The 20,207-nt window shown below is 42.6% G+C and overlaps 1 pseudogene, besides 4 other annotated features; it reads right to left on the bottom strand.

The window, feature by feature from the left end:
* Positions 2,137-3,009: an enhancer, noted in NCBI's record as "VISTA enhancer hs631". NCBI's record gives its function as "enhancer in: forebrain[6/7] | cranial nerve[7/7]" and the evidence as "EXISTENCE:transgenic organism evidence [ECO:0001131][PMID:17130149]".
* Positions 2,137-3,211: a biological region, named in NCBI's record as "VISTA enhancer hs631".
* Positions 2,548-3,211: an enhancer, noted in NCBI's record as "OCT4-NANOG-H3K27ac hESC enhancer chr8:36957649-36958312 (GRCh37/hg19 assembly coordinates)". NCBI's record gives its function as "activates a minimal SCP1, AML or CMV promoter by ChIP-STARR-seq in naive H9 embryonic stem cells {active_cell/tissue: H9 hESC(naive)}" and the evidence as "EXISTENCE:reporter gene assay evidence [ECO:0000049][PMID:30033119]".
* Positions 3,212-3,875: an enhancer, noted in NCBI's record as "OCT4-NANOG-H3K27ac hESC enhancer chr8:36956985-36957648 (GRCh37/hg19 assembly coordinates)". NCBI's record gives its function as "activates a minimal SCP1, AML or CMV promoter by ChIP-STARR-seq in naive H9 embryonic stem cells {active_cell/tissue: H9 hESC(naive)}" and the evidence as "EXISTENCE:reporter gene assay evidence [ECO:0000049][PMID:30033119]".
* SMARCE1P4 (SMARCE1 pseudogene 4) lies at positions 6,910-8,237 on the bottom strand (annotated as a pseudogene).

Raw genomic sequence — 20,207 nt, 5'->3', positions numbered from 1 at the left:
AAAGGGTGGGGTCAGTGGTGTCAGATGCTGCCAAGAGTCAGGAAAATCAAGCTTGAGAAGTACAGCAGTAAGGAGGCATTGGGATTTGGGCAAGAGCTAGTTAGATGGAGTAGTGGGGTGCAATCATGCCCAAGGTGCATTAAGGAGTGAGATGGAGATGAGGCAGTGGAGACAAGGAGTTAGATGCCTCTTCTGAGAATGTTGGCTGTGAATGGGGTAGAGTCAGGGAGGGTGGAAGCTACAAGAACCAAGGGGTATTTTTCTTTGTAGGCTGCATTAAACTTGACTTTGCTTTGATGTTGATGAGAGAAGGTTCTGTGGTGGGGGGAGTGAGTTGGGGGATGACAGTGGGGAGCACAGAGGAGATAACTGGTCAGATCAACTGCCCTAGGGAAAGAGCAGAAGTGGAGATAATGGTGCCCAGTTGGGACTTGCTTCACCTCAGACATAATAAAGGGAGGCTGGGGTTGGGGAGAGGGAGGATGGGTGGTCAGTGCTCTTGGCTGGGGATGGAGGAAACAGGAGGAGCATGGCACATAGGCTGGGGAGGGATGGCCCAGGGTGCTCAAGAGGGAGGTGCTAAGGAGTCACCAGATGCCAGATGCACCCTAAATGATTTGTAGATAGATTGGATGTAAGGCATGAAATGCAGCCAGTATGGTGCTCAGGACTTTAGCCTGCGTAGCTAGTTGAATGATGGTGCCCTTACTCAGACTGGAAGAGGTCAACAAAGTGGGCAAATCTCTAGCAAGACTGATCAAGATAAATAAAGATGTGTCCCGGCACAGTGGCTCATGCTTGTAATCCCAACACTTTGGGAGGCCGAGGTGGGTGGGTCACCTGAGGTCAGGAGTTCGAGACCAGCCTGACCAACATGGAGAAACACCATCTCCACTAAAAATATAAAATTAGCCAGGCATGGCGGTGAATGTCTGTAATCCCAGCTACTTGGGAGGCTGAGGCAGGAGAATCGCTTGAACCTGGGAGGCAGATGTTGCAGTGAGCCAAGATCATGCCATTGCATTCTAGCCTGGGCAACAAGAGCAAAACTCTGTCTCAGAAAGAAAAAAAAAAGATAAATAAAGATGCAAAAATGTGCATTATAAATTTAAACAAGCCAGAACTATAGGTACCCTAGATATTTTTAAATGTTAAAAGAAATGTTTAAGCAATTGAGTCAATATTTTAGTAAACAGAGGCAAAATAGAACATATTTAGAAAACAATATCTAAATTGGCAAAATATAAACTAAAATCTGACAAAATTGATAGCTATTTTAAAACTAAAATAATTTCAATTATTTCTTCCCCCTAGCGTGTGTGTATATATATATATATATGTGTGTATGTGTGTGTGTGTGTGTGTGTGTGTGTGTGTGTGTGTGTATAGGATATATAACTATATATATTTCTAGGCCTTGATTATTTTATATATGAATTTCACTATGTTTAAGAGACAGATAATTTATATAATTTTTCAAAAAATGGAAAAGAGAGAAAGCTTCACTATTTATTCCTAAAGGTGCAGGGAAGGTACCTGATACTTTCTCCCCTCCACATGATCTTAAACACAAAGTCATGGCACCTGTGAAACTCCTGCACTCCCCTGCACAGGTCTTTACCACCTATTGATGCAAGAAAGATTTGGGGGTAATCCTGACTTTCTCCAGTGATGCACTCACCTTGTGAGATGGAAAGAAAAAGGGAAGGCTGGGTAGTGGAAGGGCAGTGGGTGGGGGTGTGAAACCTGGGGCAGGTATCAAGAGGAGTGTGGAGAGATGGGATGGACACTTTCCTGATACATTCTTGTGCTAAGGACAACCAAATATGGGTCTGTTCTATCTCTAGAAAGCTTGTCTATATATGGAAGCTCATATAGTCATATATGGAATATGAAAGCTCGTATAAGGAATATTTTTGCTGGAAGCTTCCTGTTGGAGATTCCTGATGAAAAGACTTATGATAGTCTTTTATTCTCCCACGTTCTCTCCTTTTCATCAGGATTCTTTGTGGACACGCATGGTCTAGAGTCTGTCCCTGGTGGTGCAGGGTGTTCCCTCGCCCTTCTGCCTGGGTTAACTGTATCCCCTACAGCCAACCCTGTGATTATGGGACAGTGCCTTTTCCCTGGGGCTCCCAAGTCTCTTCTGAGCTCAATCCTTGAGATATTAACTTCCTTCAGTCTTTGCAAAAAGAGTAACTAACGTTGGCCTTGGGCTCCTCACCATCTGGTTTATTTTAAAAAGCTGAGTGGCAAATGAGAAATTTGGAAGGTCTGGAGAGTGGCCGAAGCAGTGAAGGAAAGTCTCTTTGCACTTTTAAAAGGTAGGATGGCCATCTGGCCTGGCAGAGACAGTCATTTTACATCTCCACTGGTACATGACTGAAGTCATTTACCATTAAGTTCTATTTGAATAAAGTGGTAGTAGACATTTAGGTAATATTACAGGGCAATCAATGTTTAAGAGCCTTAGGGGTATAAGCTTTCCAAACGTAGTTCAGACCCAGATGCTAAAAATACTTCGTGTGTGTGTGTGTGTGTGTGTGTGTGTGTGTGTGTGTATGTATGTGTGTGTAACCTTTTACAGCATTTTGGCTTTTGCGCACATAATGGAAGAATTTTCTCCCCTCTCCCTTTCCTTCCACATTCTGAATTGTTTAAGAGTTTCCTGGCTACAGTCCCCTCCCCCTCCCCTTTTCTTTTTTTACTACACTGGGTAGAAGAAGCATGAGGGAAATGTAGTTAAAATTCAAAATGCTTCCCTTTTATCATTACCATGAATCAACACAATAAATGAGCCCCTTCAGAGCACAGTAATAAGAATTTGATAAATCATCAGCCAAAAATTAACTAGATGTCAAAACAATCTTTGGGAAGTGTGATGGATTAGGGGTGATAGCAGCAATTAATCTCCCAGCATGAGTTCACCGGAGAGACACAATGTAGGGAGATGGATGGGGGGGATTCAGGCCTGCAAGGTCAGGACTCTACTGAAAGGAGTGGGTGGAGGGTGGAGGCTGGCAGGAGGAGGAGGGTGAGAGAGGGAGAAAGAGAGAGGGGGAGAAAGAGAGAGAGGGAGAAAGTAAGGAAGAGGGAGAGAGAGAGAGAGAGAGAGAGAGGATGAGAATCCTCTGAGTCTGCAATCTTCAGGCATCCTGCAGCTGCGCTAGAGGTCAGTTACATGCCTTTGAAAAGCTCACTGCCTCCAGCTGCTCTCTGATGAGACAAGCACTTTTCCTCTTGCGCTAATAAATGCCACAACTCGGCTCATGGGGCTCAACACATGGCCTCCAAGAGTGGCAGACCTTACGGGGCTTAATTTAGAGAGCTGGGGAGCTCCTTGTAAACAACATCTAGGAGGAGCTAAGGGCCCTAGGAGGGAGGAACAGGCAGGGACGGGAGGGAAGAGGGGAAACGAGTCTGGGAAGGGCTACAGCGCCTCCAAGCCAGGGCTCAGCTCTGGGTGCTCCAGGACCCAGCGCGGGGAATCTTGATGAATCCCTGAAAGGAAGACGAGAGCCTCTGCAGGCACCAGGCTCATCAATCTCCCTCTTTTGGACAGGGCTGCTTCTTGCACTTATTTATTTTTTTAGCAGAGTTCCTAATATTGAAAGGAATGCCAGTTTGGGGAGGATGCACACAAGACCCTTGTTTTCCCCTCCCTGGCAATGCTGGAATCCTCAAGTCTGTCTGTATTGCCACAATTTTGTGATCATGGGCTCATGGGGCTAGACTGGAAAAATGCAGCCTGAACTGATGGGGCTGATGGGGTGGGAGGTGGTGAGAGAGGCAGGAAGGAGGAGAAAGAGAGGGCCAGGCTCCACTCAGCCAATCTGAAGATCAGATCTTAAACTGTCATGGGAAACAATACTAAGGAGAGCCCTGCCTGGTCCTCTGTGATGCCTGCAATATTTGGGATGCACTGGGTCAGGGCCTAGGAGCTGGAAAACCGGGCTGTTCATTTACTTCCCTCCAAAAATAGAGTTCTGTTTGACTAAAGACTCCTATAAGAGTTACATGGCCAGGGCTTTGATGCCGCTCCTGTTAACATTTGTAAGTGCTTCCTGCCTAGGCTTTATAATCATAAAACAATCATAATGTCTGATGACTGTCTAATGTTTTTTGGTTACAAAGATCTGTGCAAATCCTAGGTCTCTCCCGGCAGAGTCTTGATTGTTTTTCATGACACACCTTCCTAGGGTACAGCAGAATACTAGAGCTTAGCCTATTCAAAACTCCCCAAATCTCAGATAGGGAAAGGTAGGCCAGAAAGGTTCAATGATTCATGGTATATCATTAAATTGATGATAAGGAAAAAAAATGCCTATGGAATTCCCTACCCTGGGTGCCTCAAAGGGCATTGCTTGTCTTTAAATTCCACGGCTTCGATATTGGTGGTTCGGAGATGTGGGATGACTTAGTCTTGTGTCTAACGCTACTCAAATGCACAGGTATGATGTAAGGTTGAACATTTTTTTAGAACAAAGACTTAGTTAGCATTATCTATCTAATAGCTGCCAGGAAAGAAGGATGGTAACCTGGTCTATGCTTCAAGAAAACTAAGGAAGACTTACAATATAACTAATCTCTGTGGAAGTGCTTTCCTTGCTACTTACCAGCTGTGGACCCTGAGTTAGTTACCCGATTGCTCTGTGTGTCTGTTTTCTCATCTGTAAAAGGGGAATGACAGTCATTCTACCTTGTAAGTTGATGTGAGGATCAAATGAGTTTTGTGACCAATGCTTGCTATGTAGTCTATCAAAATGTTGTTACCATTCTTCTGTAGTTGACAACCTTGTGCTTCGTTCATCATGACCATGACCTCCCTATTGGCTCCATGGGTTGAAAATGTTTAGAGCAAAGCTGTAGAGCACGCTGTGGCTCTTACTCTATGGCTAAGAGCTGATAGGAGGAGGTCTCTACGAAACTGGTGAGAAGGCTAGGGGTGCTGGCCCAGGCTACCCAGGCCACCTTGCCTCCACACTCTGGCTGGTGCTATAGGGTTACGTCCCAGGATGTCATCCTCTTTTCCAGAGTAGCCTCAGCGGAGCACCCTGCTTCTTCCCCTCTACAGGCCATCTCAATAAAGATTGGGTGTTCAGCTTTCAAACAATATTCTGCTTCTGTGTAGTACTTTCACCTTTTTCAAGCACCTTCTCATACATTATCTTTTTGTTTCATGTGCATTTTGATGAATGTAGGACAGTCATTCTTCTCTTTCACTTTCCTGTGAGCCAGATTTAATGAGGGAGTTTCTGGATTATCTTGGTTAGTTGGAGGCATCTGCCTAACTTATCTATGACTTATTTTTCCTGCTACCAGATTGTTCCAAATGATTGTGCTGGCTGTGAGTTTAGAAGATCTGGCCTTTTGCAGAAGTTCTGCTGTTGTCTTTTCAGCTTCTGGGTAAGGGCAAGGCCATTGGGGTTGCTCTCTCCTAATGAGAAGTGAGTGTGAACACCAATGGATTCTGGAGAGATGAAGCTTCTCTTTGGGGCTCACAGTCCCAGACAATCCATACCTGTTCCTTCTTCAATTTGCTCAATATAGCATTGAGCATTTCAACAGCTTCTGTGCCTGTACTATAAACGTGTGTAAATACTGACAGACATACACGTGCCTGCACAAACCTGTATCCATAGTCACAGATTCTATCACACACTCACAGACACATGTACTCACAGATGTAAATACACAGTGTTATGACACAGTTGCATACTGTCACACCCATAGAGTCACACACAGAGGCACACAGGCCGAGGCACGCATACATCCACACGCAGTCACATATACAAACACAAAGGCACAATGATTCTCTCTCTCTCCTTTCTCTCTCTCTCTGTTTTACATGCACTCTCTCTCTCTCTCTCTCTCTCTTAGAAAAAGTACCAACCCAGAAAAGAAATGCAGCAGAGACGTTTGTAGCATTGCATACCCAGCTGGGTCTTGGGAAAGAGTCTCCTCCCCAGCGCATCATGGAGGGATGAGCTTTTGAGAGCAGGTGCTGGGTACCATCCCAAATCTTTTGCCGAGATTCCTAGTGCCACAGCTAATCTACACTCTGGATGTTTGCTGACTACCCTGATCCTCAGGAGGCAGGTGTTCAACCCAGGGGCCAAAGTTGAAATTGTCGGGAGACGTAGTGTTAAGAGTTGAATTGTTTCCTCCCTCCTGCCAAAGATATGTTAAAATTCTAATCCTCAGTACCTCAGAGGTTACTTTATTTGGAAATAGGCTCATTGCAGGTGGAATTACAGGCATACCTCAGAGATATTGTGGCTTCAGTTCCAGACCACCATAATAAAGCAAATGTTGCAATAAATTGAGTCACACAAATTGTTTAGGGTGGTGGTTGCTGAAGGTTGGGGTGGCTGTGACAATTTCTTACAATTTTTAAGTTTCTTAAAATAAGACAACAATGAAGCTTGCCACACCAATTGACTCTCATTTTCTGGAAAGATTTCTCTGTAGTATGTCATGCTGTTTGATAGCATTTAACCCACAGTATAACTTCCTTATAAATTGGAGTCAATTTTCTCAAACGCTGCTGCTGTTTTATCAACTAAGTGTATATAATATTCTGAATTGTTTGTCTTTTCAATAATGTTCGTAGCATCTTCACCAGGAGTAGATCTCATCTCAAGAAACCGCTTTCTTTGCTCATCCATAAATTAATCATCTGTTCAAGTTTTATCATGAGATTGCAACAATTCCATCATGTCTCACTGAGTTAGGCTCCACTTCTAGTTCTCTTGCTGTTTCCACCACATCGGTAGTGACTTCTTCCGTTGAAGCCTTGAACCTCTCAATGTCATCCATGAGGACTGGAATCAACTTCTTCCAGACTCCTGTTAATGAGAATATTTTGACCTCCTCCCATTAATCATGAATGTTCTTTTTTTTTTAATCAAAAACATTTTTTCATTTAAAAAACTATTTACAACACATAAAACAAGGCAAGATTTACTCTTTTTTTCTCATCTTCTGGTATGGGATCTTTTGGTGGCTCCTGCACTATTGTGCTGTTGCTGTCCGATCCAATGTTACTATCACTGGTTCCTTCCTCTGCCATACTGTCTACCCACTCCTGCCCACTCTCCTTGTCCTCAGGAGTAGACGTGCCTTCTTCACTGTTCTGTTGGCTCTCTGTCATTTCTTCAAAGCGTGCCTCCTCCATCTCCATTGGAATGTTCTTGTCATCTTTCTTCTCCTCGCCTTTGCTGGCTGCTTGCTTTTCCTTAGGAACAATGCTGCTCTGTGCTCAGCTTGCTCTGCTGCCTCCTTCTCCCTTTTCTCCTGCCTTTTGCGGGCCTGTTCCTCTGCCTGTGCAATCTCACCTGCAATTTTCTTCATATCCACTTCTACTTTCAGACCACACAAACTTTTAAGTTCATCATTAAATGAATCTGTGCTTTCCAAGTATTTCCTCCTCTTCTCCTGGTGTCATTTCCTCTATCTGAAGAAGTTCAGCTTCTAGTTTTCGCTGATGAATAATTAAGGACTGGACCTGTCATTTGATGATCCACATTCTAGCTGTTGTGACAACTGACCGAACGTCTGGCACCACACTCTCACTAAGGATTTCACTGATGAGGCAGTGGTTTCTCTGGAAATGGGCGGTGGCTGTATGCTTCATTGAAAAGCCATCGTCATAATCATCTGGATCTTCAGGAGGCTAAATGTTCATGTACGGTTCTCCTTTCTCCACGCAAGACTGTCTCTGTCAACTTTCTTCCTCTAAAGCAGCTTCTGCACGACTTTTTGCATTTATGTAAGCAAGGTATATGGGGGATTTATGATAGGCCTTCATAGATTCATTGTATTCTGTCTTTTCTGCTTCGTATTCATTTAAATATTCTTGCTTTTCTTCACCAGTGAGATCTCACCACATGCCACCAATAATCTTGCCAATCTCCCACAACTTTAAGTCAGGGTTGGAAGTCTTTACTTGGTCCCAGACCTTTCTGCCTGTACCTCACGTAGGGCATCAGCGGCTTATCTGGTGGCTTTGGGGGTTTTGGTATGGTAATAGCAGAGGATGCTGTGACCTGGCTGTTGGTGCCTGGGTTCCCTTCAAGCCTGTAGTTGTTGTAGGTGAGATGACTGTATGGATTGTATCTCACAAACCCTGGTGTGCTGGGCATTTGTGTTGCAGGAGCTGGGGTGAGAGGTGGAGCATAAGACGGTCTTTCCACGGGCAGAAAAAGTGGCTGCAGTTCCGGCTTCACTTCCCTTTGTCCTGCGCCATGAGTGTTCTTAATGGCATCTAGAATTGTGAATCCTTTCCACAAAATTTTCAATTCACTTTGCCCAGGCCCATCAGAGGAATCAATTCCTAGGGCACCTATAGACTTACGAAATATATTTATTAAATAATAAGACTCAAAAGTCAAAATTACTCCTTGATCTAGGGGCTGTTGAATGGATTCTTTGTTAGCAGGCAGGAAAACAGCATTCATCTCTTTGTACATCTTTACCAGAGCTCTTAGGTTACCAGCTGCATTGTTAATGGGCAGTAATTTTGAAAAGAATTTTTTTTTTTGAGAAGTAGCTCTCAACAGTGGGCTTAAAATATTCAGTAAAACATGTGATAAGCAGATGTGCTGTCATCCAGGCTTTGTCGTTCCATTACTGGAGCACAGGCAGAGTAGATTTAGCATAATTTTTAAGGGCCCTAGGGTTTTCATAATGGGAAGTAAGCATTGGCTTCAACTTAAAGTCCCCAGCTGCATTTGCTCCTAACAAGAGAGTCAGGCTGCCCTTTGAAACTTGAAACCAGACATAGACTGCTCCTCTTTAGCTGTGAATGTCCTAGAAGGTATCTTCTTCCAATAGAAGGCTCTTTCATCTACATTAAAAATGTGTTGTTTAGTGTAGCCACCTTCATTAATGATCTTCACTAGATCTTCTGGATGACTTGCTGCAGCTTCTACATCAGCACTTACTACTTCACTTTGCACTTTTATTTTACAGAACTGGCTTTTTTCTTTAAACCTCATGAACCAAGCTCTGCTAGCTTCCAGCTTTTCTTCTGCAGCTTCCTAACCTCTCTCAGTCTTCACATAATTGAAGAGAGTTAGGGCCTTGCTCTGGATTAGGTTTTGGCTTAAGGGAGTACTGTGGCTGGTTTGATCTTCTGTCTAGACCACTAAAGCCTTCTCCATGTCAGCAATGAGGCTGTTTCACTGTCTTATCATTTGTGTGTTCAATGGAGTAGTACTTTTTATTTCCTTCAAGAACTTTTCCTTTGCATTCATAACTTGGCTGTTTGGTGCAAGAGTCCTAGCTTGCAGCTTGTCTCAGCTTTTGACCTGCCTTCCTCACTAAGCTTAATCATTTCCAGCTTTTCATATAAAGCAAGAGACATGTGATTCTTCCTTTCACCTGAACACTTACAAGCCATTGTAGGGTTAGTAATTGGCCAAATTTTAATATGTTGTGTCTCAGGCAATAGGAAAACCCCAGGAGAGGGAGAGAAATGGAGAAACTAACGGTCCATGGTGCAGTTTATATACTTTTAGAACACATACAATATTTATTAAGTTCACTGTCTTATTTGGGTGTGGTTCATGATGCCCTGAAACAATTACAATAGTAACATCAAAGATCACGGACCACAGACTGCCAAGACATACAAAATAATAGTAATAATAAGGGGTGAAATATTGGGAGAATTACCAAAATGGGACACAAACACATGAAGTGAGCCCATGCTGCTGGAAAAATGGCACCAATAGACTTCCTTGTTGCGGGGTTGCCACCAACCTTCAATTTGTAAAAAATGCAATTTCTGCGAAGGGCAAGAAAGTGAAGCGTAATAAGACAAGGTGTGCCCGTAGTTACATTAAGATGAGGTTGTGCTGGAGTAGGTTGAGCTCCTAATCGAATATAATTGGTGTGTTTATAAGAGAAGAGAAACACTCAGGGAGAGGCCACATGGCGACAGAGGCAGAGACTGACTTAGCTGCCAGCCACGCAAGGCCACTGATTGTCCGCACACCACCAGAAGCTAGGAAGAGCCAAGGAAGGGCTCGGAGGGTTCATGGTCTTGCCAACACCTGCGCTTTGAAGTCTTAGCCTCCAGTGTTTAATTGTGGTTGTAAAACGCCCAGTTTATGGTGCTTAGTGAAGGCAGCCCCAGGAAACTAGTACATTTGCATAATTTGAAGGAAAAAAAGATGTATTTAATATTTTACCAGAATTTTCTATGTGGAAAATCAAAACAAAATCCTCTTGTTCTGAAAAAACAAACATCTCAAATAAAGCGTCCACATTCTTCTAGGCTTCTGCATACAAGTAGAAGGTGATAGCTCTCTGCTCAGACCCTCCCTTATGTCTGCATGTCACCTGGCCTGGGGTAAGAAGTGGCCATCATGTCATGGCAGCTTCCAAAACCTGCTCCTCTGCCCCGGCTCCTCTCTGGCCTTGGGTCCTCGTTCCACTCCAGCCACACAGACCGCCTCCCTTTTCTCAGACTCTCCAGGCAAGCCCCCTCCTCAGGGCTTCACACAAGCTCCTCCCCTGACTGGAAGGTTGGGACCCAGGCAGCACCCTGGCTCATTGCTTTAAACTGTTGCTCAAATGTCACCTGGTTGGTGAGACCAGCAATTCCTAAAAGTCACTCCTCCTCATTTCCCCTGACTTTGCTTTAATTTTTTTTTTCCAGAGAACTTATCGCCTTCTGACATACCATATAATTAACTGACTGATTATGTAGATTGTATACCTCCCCATGAGAATGTTAGCTCCAAAAGAACATGGATTCTTTTTTCCTGTTTTGTATGCCCTGTTCCTAGAACAGTGTCTGGAATACACTTGGTGTTCAATAATTGTTTCTGAATGAATGAAAACTTAGTCTCCTGTGTGTCTGACTTTCATCAATGTTACCCTCTGGGAAGAAGGAGATCCCTGAAGATTTAATGTTTAGACTTATATGGAGGAGATATAGGTTTAAGAAATGAAGAAGCGGCCTGGCCCAGTGGCTCACGCCTGTAATCCCAGTACTTTGGGAGGCTGAGGCGGGTGGATCACAAGGTCAGGAGATCGAGACCATCCTGGCTAACATGGTGAAACCCCATCTCTTCTGAAAATACAAAAAATTAGCCAGGCACGGTGGTGGGTGCCTGTAGTCCCAACTACTTGGGAAGCTGAGGCAGGCTAATGGCGTGAACCTGGGAGGCGGAACTTGCAGTGAGCCGAGATTGTGCTGCCACTGCCCTCCATGCTCCAGCCTGGGTGACAGAGCAAGACTCTATCTCGAAAAAAAAAAAAAGAAAAGAAATGAGAGGCTGGGCAGGCCAGTGGCAGAGGCCTTGAGCTGGGGCCTTGAGGGTCTCATCTGTGAAAGACAGATGAAACCACCTGCTGCCTACAACCCACTTCACGGGGATGTTGGGAGGATGAAGGACATGATGCATTTTAAAGTGCTCTGAGGTCCTTAAACAAAAGACATGCCATGGAAATGGAATGTTATTACATAAACTAAACCCAGAAGTGTATCAGGAAATAGCTGAACTGAATCATAGCCAGTCTCAGAGCAATTTTTTTGCCTGAAAAATTTAATAGAACAGCCTAAAAAACTATGATGCAATTTTCTTTCTTATCAACCGTTCCTACCTTCTAAATTTTAGCACAGGTGCTATCTTCTTTTTTTTCCTACACAGTAAACAGATCCACGATAAAATTTCGGGATTGGACTGAGGGTGGTTGGCTGTGCAAATAACTGGGCCATAAAAGTGTCTTCAGAATTTTTCTCTCTCTCATTTTTAAACAGTGGTTCTCACAGGGAATAAAATGTATTGCTCAGAACAAGTGGCTGTGTATTTAATTATGTCAAACCTTAATATTTTTTTTTGTTTCATATTTCAAGTGTTCTGTGTTGTGTAGGGGATATTGAGAATTAAACTTTGTGATATTCCTTCTTTTTTTTTTTTTTTGATGGAGTCTTGCTCTGTTGCCCAGGCTGGAGTGCAGTGGCATGATCTTGGCTCACTGCAGCCTCCATCTTCCAGATACAAGTGATTCTCCTGCCTCAGCCTCCCGAGTAGCTGGGATTACAGGCACCCACCACCACACCTGGCTAATTTTGTATTTTTAGTTGCCCCTGCTGGTCTCGAATTCCTGACCTCGTGATCTGCCCACCTCAGCCTCCCAAAGTGCTGGGATTACAGGCGTGAGCCACTGCGCCCGGCTTATTCCTTCTTTTTAAGGGCAATATACATAACTAGAACAGCAGTCGCGAACGTCAGAACTACTGAGTGCAGCCTGTGAATGCAGTTTCCCTCCTCTGGCTTCTCCTCTTGCTATTCAGTGCCCTCTGCTGTCTGGAAGGAGCCTGCTAATGCTTGGGTTAACTGCCTAGCCTATTTGTATCACACAATGATTAGTTTTTTCCTTCAGCTGATTTTACTGCTAGTATGAACTGGTACCCATTACAATTCTGAATCCTATTAGGTTGCTGGTAAGTGGCTGTCATTGGCCATCCCACTTGTTTAGAAAACGATATTAAAAAGGAAGGGTTAACCTGCAAAAGTTTATCCTCTATTCTTGGTTCCTACCTTCCTGGATGCCTAGCCCAAGGATAGATGGAGTGAACTCCAGGCAGGTGTGTCACAATTTATAAAGGAGTAACTCAAAGTTCAGTTAGTACTTTAGTTCTGAATAAACATAGCTCTGGAAAGTCCCCTTGAATCCTGACTGTCCTGTAGATAAATCTCCAGTCTTATATGTTAGGGCTTTCCTCCAAGTTAACCATATTTATCAAAACATTTATTTTTTGATAATTGCTATTAAAAATATTATTATTATTATTATTTGAGACAGAGTCTTGCTCTGTCACCCAAACTGGAGTGCAGTGGCATGATCTCAGCTCACTGCAACCTCCACGTCCCCGGTTCAAGCAATTCTCCTGCCTCGGCCTCCTGAGTAGCTGGGATTACAGGCATGTGCCACCATGCCCAGCTAATTTTTATATTGTTAGTAGAGACGGGGTTTCTCCATGTTGGTCAGGCTGGTCTTGAACTCCTGACCTCAGGTAATTTGTCCACTTCAGCCTCCCAAAGTGCTGGGATTATAGGCGTGAGCCACCACACCCAGCCTAAAACATGATTTTTATCTCAAGAGGGAGAAAGATGTAGTTGTTTAGACTTTGGACATTGGAGCTGGGTTAAAAATCTAGGTTTTTCCCTTTTGCTAACTGTATAATATTAGGCAATAATCATGTTAGCTTCATTTTTCCTATCTGTAGAAAAATATCACCTACCCCACAGGGTTAATTTGAAGATTAAATAAGAATATGTAAACAAAATTCTTATTAAAGGTTCTGGTATATTGTAAGCACCAAGTACATATTTTTTTCATTTTTCCTTCATGTTTGATTCTAATTCCAAACTCAAAACATATCTTTATTTCTTAGTTCATATAAAGTATTTCCTAGTCATCTGTATCTTTTTTCTTTAATATGATATTATCCTGGCTTGTTGGGTAGTAGGAAAGAGGAAAAGAGAGAGAAAAAGGAGAGAGAAGAAGATGAGAGAAATGGCTGCCAAAACACTTTCAATTACACCTGTTATTATTTTGGTACTTGTTGATGCTGCAAATGAGAACCAGAGCATGTGGCTGGTAGGTCACTCCAAAATGTTTTGTCCTTCGCTAAAAAAGATGTAACTTGGGCTTAAATAAGATACGATACATCTACCCAAAAGCAGGTAAAGAAAAGCCATTCATCTAGAAGGGAAGTATTCTGGGATTCAAAATTTATAAATATTATACCGACCTATTCTTGACTAGCATTTAAACATGAGAAATCAACAATGCTTACTTAATTCCACTGATTTGTCATAACATTCAGTGTTTGTGCTTTTATTTCCTATGGCCCTAAAAATTCAGAAGCAACTTCCAAGAAAAGTAGTTTAGCTTAAAAATCACCATTTTCGGCCGGGTGCAGTGGCTTACGCCTGTAATCCCAGCACTTTGCGAGGCAAAGGGGAGTGCATCACCTGAGGTCAGGAGTTCGAGACGAGCCTGGCCAATATGGTGAAACCCCGTCTCTACTAAAAATACAAAAGTTAGCTGGCCGTGGTGGCACATGCCTGTAATCCCAGCTACTCAGGAGGCTGAGGGAGGAGAATCGCTTGAACCCGGGAGGCGGAGGTTGCAGTGAGCTGAGATCGTGTCACTGCGTTCCAGCCTGGGTGACAGAAGGAGACTCCTTTAAAAAAAAATCACCATTTTCCCCATTTAACCTGAGAGTCAGTTGACTGGAAAACACGATGGTTCTCAGCAAGCATATAAAGCAGTTGGACCACCCATGACTGCCTTCTGAAGATGCTTCTTGGAGAACAAAGCACATCCTCTATGGAAACCTCTTGATCCCTAAGTAGGGATGGCATTTCTTTGTAGATGGAACACTGTGAAGTTCTTCCAAAGGAAGCTGTGGAGTTTTCAGTCTGAAATCTCGTGAACTTCCCTAGCCTGGGTGATTTAAGATGCTTGTGCCTAAAACAGCTTTCTAGTCTGGACTATTTCTTCCTCATCTTACCAACACTGGAGTTCTTTGAACTTTCAACATCTTTTACCAGAGAAATGGAAATAAAATGAGGAAGTAGGTAGAAGGAAGTCTTAGAACCATTTGCCCGAGTCCACAGTCACACTTACTTCAACATGTCTCAAACTTCACAAACCCATTGGGATGAAGAATGTAGGGGGAAATTCTCTCAAAAGGGATTTTATACTATACTGGTTCTAACCAGTGGCACACAGAGGGAAAATAAGTTATTTTAAACATTTTGTTTGTATGTTGAAAGTATCTGTTATTTGTGGGTAGACCAATAGGATTGCATTGTTATAATTATGCACAGAAAATATCAATAAAGTTAACAGTAGAAAACGGAGTCTCTTGTTATTATTTATGGAACTATCTGCCAAAGTCACTCTCTTGGTGGACATGGCATCCCCATTTTTGTTGGGATCCATATATTGTAATGAAAAAAAATCATGAATTTGGACTTACTTGCATTTGAATTCCTACTTCACAATTTATGGTGTGACTATGACCATCATTTATTTATCCAGTTGATGTGGTGTGGCTCTGTATTCCCACCAAAATCTCACCTTGAATTGTAATAATCCCCATGTGTCAAAGGCAAGACCAGATGGAGGTAATCAAATCATGGGGGTGGTTTCCCCCATGCTGTTCTTGTGATAGTGAATGAGTCTCACAAGATCTGATGGTTTTATAAGCATCTGGCATTTCCCATGCTTGCACTCATTCTTTCTCCCACCACCCTGGGAAGAGGTGCCTTCCACCATGATTGTAAGTTTCCTGAGGCCTCCCCAGCCATGTGGAACTGTGAGTCAATTAAACTTCTTTTCTTCAGAAATACCCAGTTTGGGGTATTTATTCATAGCAGCATGAGAATGGACTAATGCACCAATACTTATAAATATCTGCTGTGGAATATTTCCTGTGGCAAGTGTGTGTTGGTGGCACAGTAGGGGGAGGCACAGAAATAAGTAAAATGTTATTAAGAGGAAAACTTTAGACAAATTGAAGTTGTCTAAACAGAGCTTAATTGAGCAAAGAATGATTCATAAGTCAGGCAGCCTCCCAAACCAGGATAGGTTCCAAGAGATTCTGGTGCTGCTCTGTGGTTGAAGATTATTTATGGACAGAAAAAGGAAAATGACACACAGAAAGCAGAAGTGAGGTACAAAACAGCTGGATTTGCAATTGACCAACCAGCTTATTCTTGCCTACTTCCCAGAAAAGCCAATGCACTGAGAACAGCATGTTTTGCAGCAAAGAAAGCACTTAGTAATTGGAGGGTCAGCCAAGTGGAAGGAAGGTAGATAATTCTCAAATCTCTCTCCCAAGAATTCAAAGGGTAGGGTTTTTCAAGGATAATTTGGTTGACAGGGGAGTGGGGAATGGAGAATGTTGACTGTTGGGTTGGGGATGGAATCATAGGGGGTTGAAGCTGTCTTGTTGTGCAGAGTTAGTTCCCTGGGTGGGGATGAAAAGACCACTTATGTCAATTTCTTGGTATGGGTTAGTAATCTTGTTGGTGCCAGCCGGTCTATCAGAATGAAGGGTCTGAAAAATACTTTAAACAACAATCTTGGGTTTTATAAGAGTGATGTTATTTCTAGGTACAATTGGGGAGGTCACATATCTTGTGACCTCCAGCTACATGACTCTTGAACAATAATTCTGACCTTGTGGCTAACTTATTAGTTTTACAAATGTGGTTTGGTCCCTGAACAAGGAGGGGGTTAGTTTCAGAAAATACCGTTATCATCTTTGATTTAACATTAAACTCTAACTAAATTTATCCCATAGTTAACATGGCCTATGCTCAAGAATGTACATAAACAGATTTTGAGGTTAGAAGCAAGACGAAGTCAGCTATGTCAGATTTCTCTCACTGTCATACATTTTGCCAAGGTAGTTTCAGATAGGTTACAGCTTGGTGTTTCCCTTATTTAAACATGGTTTGAACAGTTGGCTGCCTTCAATTGGCTGAAACTCAGTGATTGGTGTAAGAGTAGGTTATGGTCTGTTTACACATCCAGTTAGGTTATAGTTTACTACATATGGAGAAACTTTTGGGCCAAACTGATAACATGTAAGGAGGCAGTTTTAGGTTAAGCTTAATTTAACACTGTGTACCTAGTCATGTGTAGCCATGGTGTCTCATAGGAAGCACAGAAGAACAAGCAGAGCTATGCTCAGAGACCCCTGAGTTCAGCTGGGGTGGGAGTGGTCAGAGAAGGTTTCTTAGAGGTTGTTTGTACTGCATCCTTGAAAGATCAGTAGAAGTTAGCAAGCTGGTGTGTCTAGAAAGGGAGGTATGAATCAAACATATTGAAGAGCACGTGAAGGTCATGGAGACGAGAAGCTGCAGGTAGACCTGTACATGGGAGGGTGGGTAAAGGTATGGTGTGGTGACGACCAGAGAAGGTGCTAGGGACAAGAGCAAAGGCTAGAGTATGGAAGTCCTTGTATAACATGCCAAGGAGTTTCGTTCTCTTCTTAAGGTGATGGAGACACTTGACTCATCTTAAGTAGATTGATGGCCTCGGGTTTTCAGCACAGAAAGACCATTATGATGGTGGCATGAAAGCCTGCCTGGAATGGGGAAGTCCACACCTTCGAAGGCCTGTGGGAGCAAGAATCTTAGACTGGTGAGAGGAACATTGGGCTTGTTGTTAGCCTTTTTTGCGGAATATCTAGGCGCTGATGCCCTCTTCTAGGGTGAGAATGGAATGAGAAAAATAGACACATGAGGGCAGGCCTGAGGTTTATCAGGGCTTAAGGCATGGTGGAGGAAGGAATATAGATAGAAAAGGCAGACAGGGGCAGGCAGGGAGGAAGGAGGAAAGACTGGGAGAGGGCAAAGAAGGGGGTTTAGAGAGGGCAGGGAGGAAGGAGGAAAGACTGGGAGAGGGCAAAGAAGGGGGTTTAGAGAGGGCAGGGTTAGCAGTGGTGTCCAATACTTCTGGCGGGGGTCAAATGGGTTAATTGTAAGAGACCATCTGCTAAGTATGAGGACATTGATGATAATTACCAATAAAAGTATTCCAGAGAAGGCAGGCATAACTGGGATTGAGAGCAAAGGCAGCATCTGGTGACTCCTCTACTGACACACCTACATTTCTACTCTCCTTTTACCCTCTTCTCATGGGTTTGCTGTTAGTGATAAGGAAATTCTTGGAAAATGGTTGTTGCAGAAATTCCATCTTCTCTTTGTGAAGCCACATATGTTAAAAGAGTTGCATTCAGCCTTCCTCTTAGAGCCAACTAGAGAGCATCATTACCAAGAGGAAAAACATCAAGTTACTTTGCATTTTGAAACTGAAAAGTAGGCAAAGGAGGTTACATGGATTTACTCAGTTCCAAAAAAATGAAAGGAAAAGAAGAAAAAAAGACACACTATGATCACAATTTATCTAAGCAACACCATAAGTGCCATTATCCTCTGTGATTATTTTGACTTGATTTGAAATGTTTATTCAAATACTTACATGAATGACTAATCAAAAGGATTGTTAAAACTTCCTTACATATGTGAGACACCTTCACAATAATAGCAAGGCTTGCTGGGAACTTATATTATGTTTTTAATTGCTTTTGTCAGTCAAAACTATCTGCTGAGCCCCTACTTGAAGCTGAATGCTGCATTTGAGCAGGGGATAGCAATACAGAGAAAGCCCAGGAAACCCTTTATTACTACCAATGCTTGAGGCATGCATGTTCTGCTTAATTAGATTTTCAGGTGAGCTCCTGCTGAACCCTTTATGAAGCATCATAATTTTTGTTTCAAGTTTTAAATAAATCTTGGTCAAACTTTCTGGAAAGACAGAGACTCTAGCACGACATCTCTTCTCTGGTTCTAATTGAAATGATCAACATGCTCTAAAAATAGGAGAAATCCTGTATCAGTACAGGAAACAAAGGAGGGAAGTCATCCATGGGGAAAAAAATTTGAAGACATTTCTACTGGATACAAGCCCAGAAGGGCCACAGTTGAAGTACAAAAGCATCAGCTTTGGAGGTAGATGATCAGATTTCATTTCCAGCTTTGCCAACCACTGAGCCACTGGGACCCACAGTTTACTGGTGGCTCAGAATTCTCATAAATAAAATGGAGCTGCAGGATCTAATGACTTGCTGAGTCCTCTTTAGTTGTAGGTGTCTATGACAACACATTGGTTAAGTCGCAGGCAGTATGAAGTGATTAACAGCATCGTTCTACGGTAGGCCACATGGGCTCAAATCCCATATATTTTACACTCTAGCTATGTCATGCTGGACAGATCACTTGAAGTCTCTAAGCCTCAGTTTGCCCATCTGTAAAAGGGGGATAATAATTCCTACCTCTCCAGATTCTTGTGAAGACCAAATTAGATAATATATGTAAAATCCTTAGCAAAATGTCTGGTGTATTAAACACTGGATAACAGCTACTATTATTATCATCATAATTATTTTTTATACCAAAGGAACATCTCAAGAAAGTTATAATCATTTCTGTGCAGACATATATTCATAAATGCAATTATTACAAATCTTGTTTGGAATGTGGAAGCAGATATCATCATATGCATATATATGTGTGTGAATACCTATAATGTATGTACATATGTGTGTGTATTGTTAATCATATACACTGTGCACACATGTATATGAAATATATGTGTACATATGTGATAAGGAGATGTTGGAATGATTAGTGACCAAAGATAAAGATGATGAACTTTGAATGGTTTTCCATAGTATATGAATTTTAAGTGTAGTTTTGACAGGATGAAAAAAGTCAGAATTGGTTAGGCAGGAGTGTTATTCGTTTGCATAAAAAGACCAAAAAATACTGTTGTCTAGTTTGTTTAATTGATATATTTAGTAAAAACAAGCAAGGAATCCCAGGAAGGGGCCTCAGCAGCTGCCTTGGCCTGGTAGAGAACCTGTACTTGACTCTTCTTTTCAGGCTTTGGAGACATTTTAGTGACGGGGGTGTCTTCAAAGTCTATCAGAAGTAGCTCCAGTGACATCACCACCCCCATGGACTTGTCTGTTAAACTCCAGCTAGAATCCAAAACTCTCAAGGCAGAATCTAATGGGGTGGATCAGTTACCAGTCAATATGGCACACTCTTATTGGGCAGAGTTCTTGGGCCAGGACAGCTCTGAGGCTGTGGAGTTTCTCAGTTCACATTTGGCTAGAGTATTGTTAGGGGTTGAACTGTGTCTGCCCAAAAGAGATGTGTTGAAATTCTAATGCCCCTGTGCCTCAGAATGTGACCAGATTTGGAAATAGTGTCTTAACAAAGGTAATCAAGTTAAAATGAGGTTGTAAGTGTGGGCTCTAATCCAATATGGGTAATGCCTTTACAAACATGAAAAATTTGGTTACAGAGACAGACATACATAGAGGGAAGACAATAGGAAGATACACAGGGAGAATGCCCTGTAAGGATAGAGGCAGAGACTGAATTATGCTTCCATAAACCAATGAACATCTGGGGCTACCAGAAGCTGGAAGAAGGGATCCTCGCTCTACAGATTTATAAGGGAGCAAGGCCTTGCCAACACCTTAATTTTGGACTTCTAGCCTCCACAACTGTGGAACAACATATTTCTGTTGTTCTCAGCCACCAACTTTGTGGTACTTTGTTATGGCAAACCTAGGAAATGAATACAGGTATCCT

The sequence above is a fragment of the Homo sapiens genome, chromosome 8, assembly GCF_000001405.40.
Source record: "Homo sapiens chromosome 8, GRCh38.p14 Primary Assembly".
NCBI classification, from domain to species: domain Eukaryota; kingdom Metazoa; phylum Chordata; class Mammalia; order Primates; family Hominidae; genus Homo; species Homo sapiens.
The sequence above is the reverse complement of the archived record's forward strand: the minus strand, read 5'-3'. Positions and strand labels throughout refer to the sequence as shown.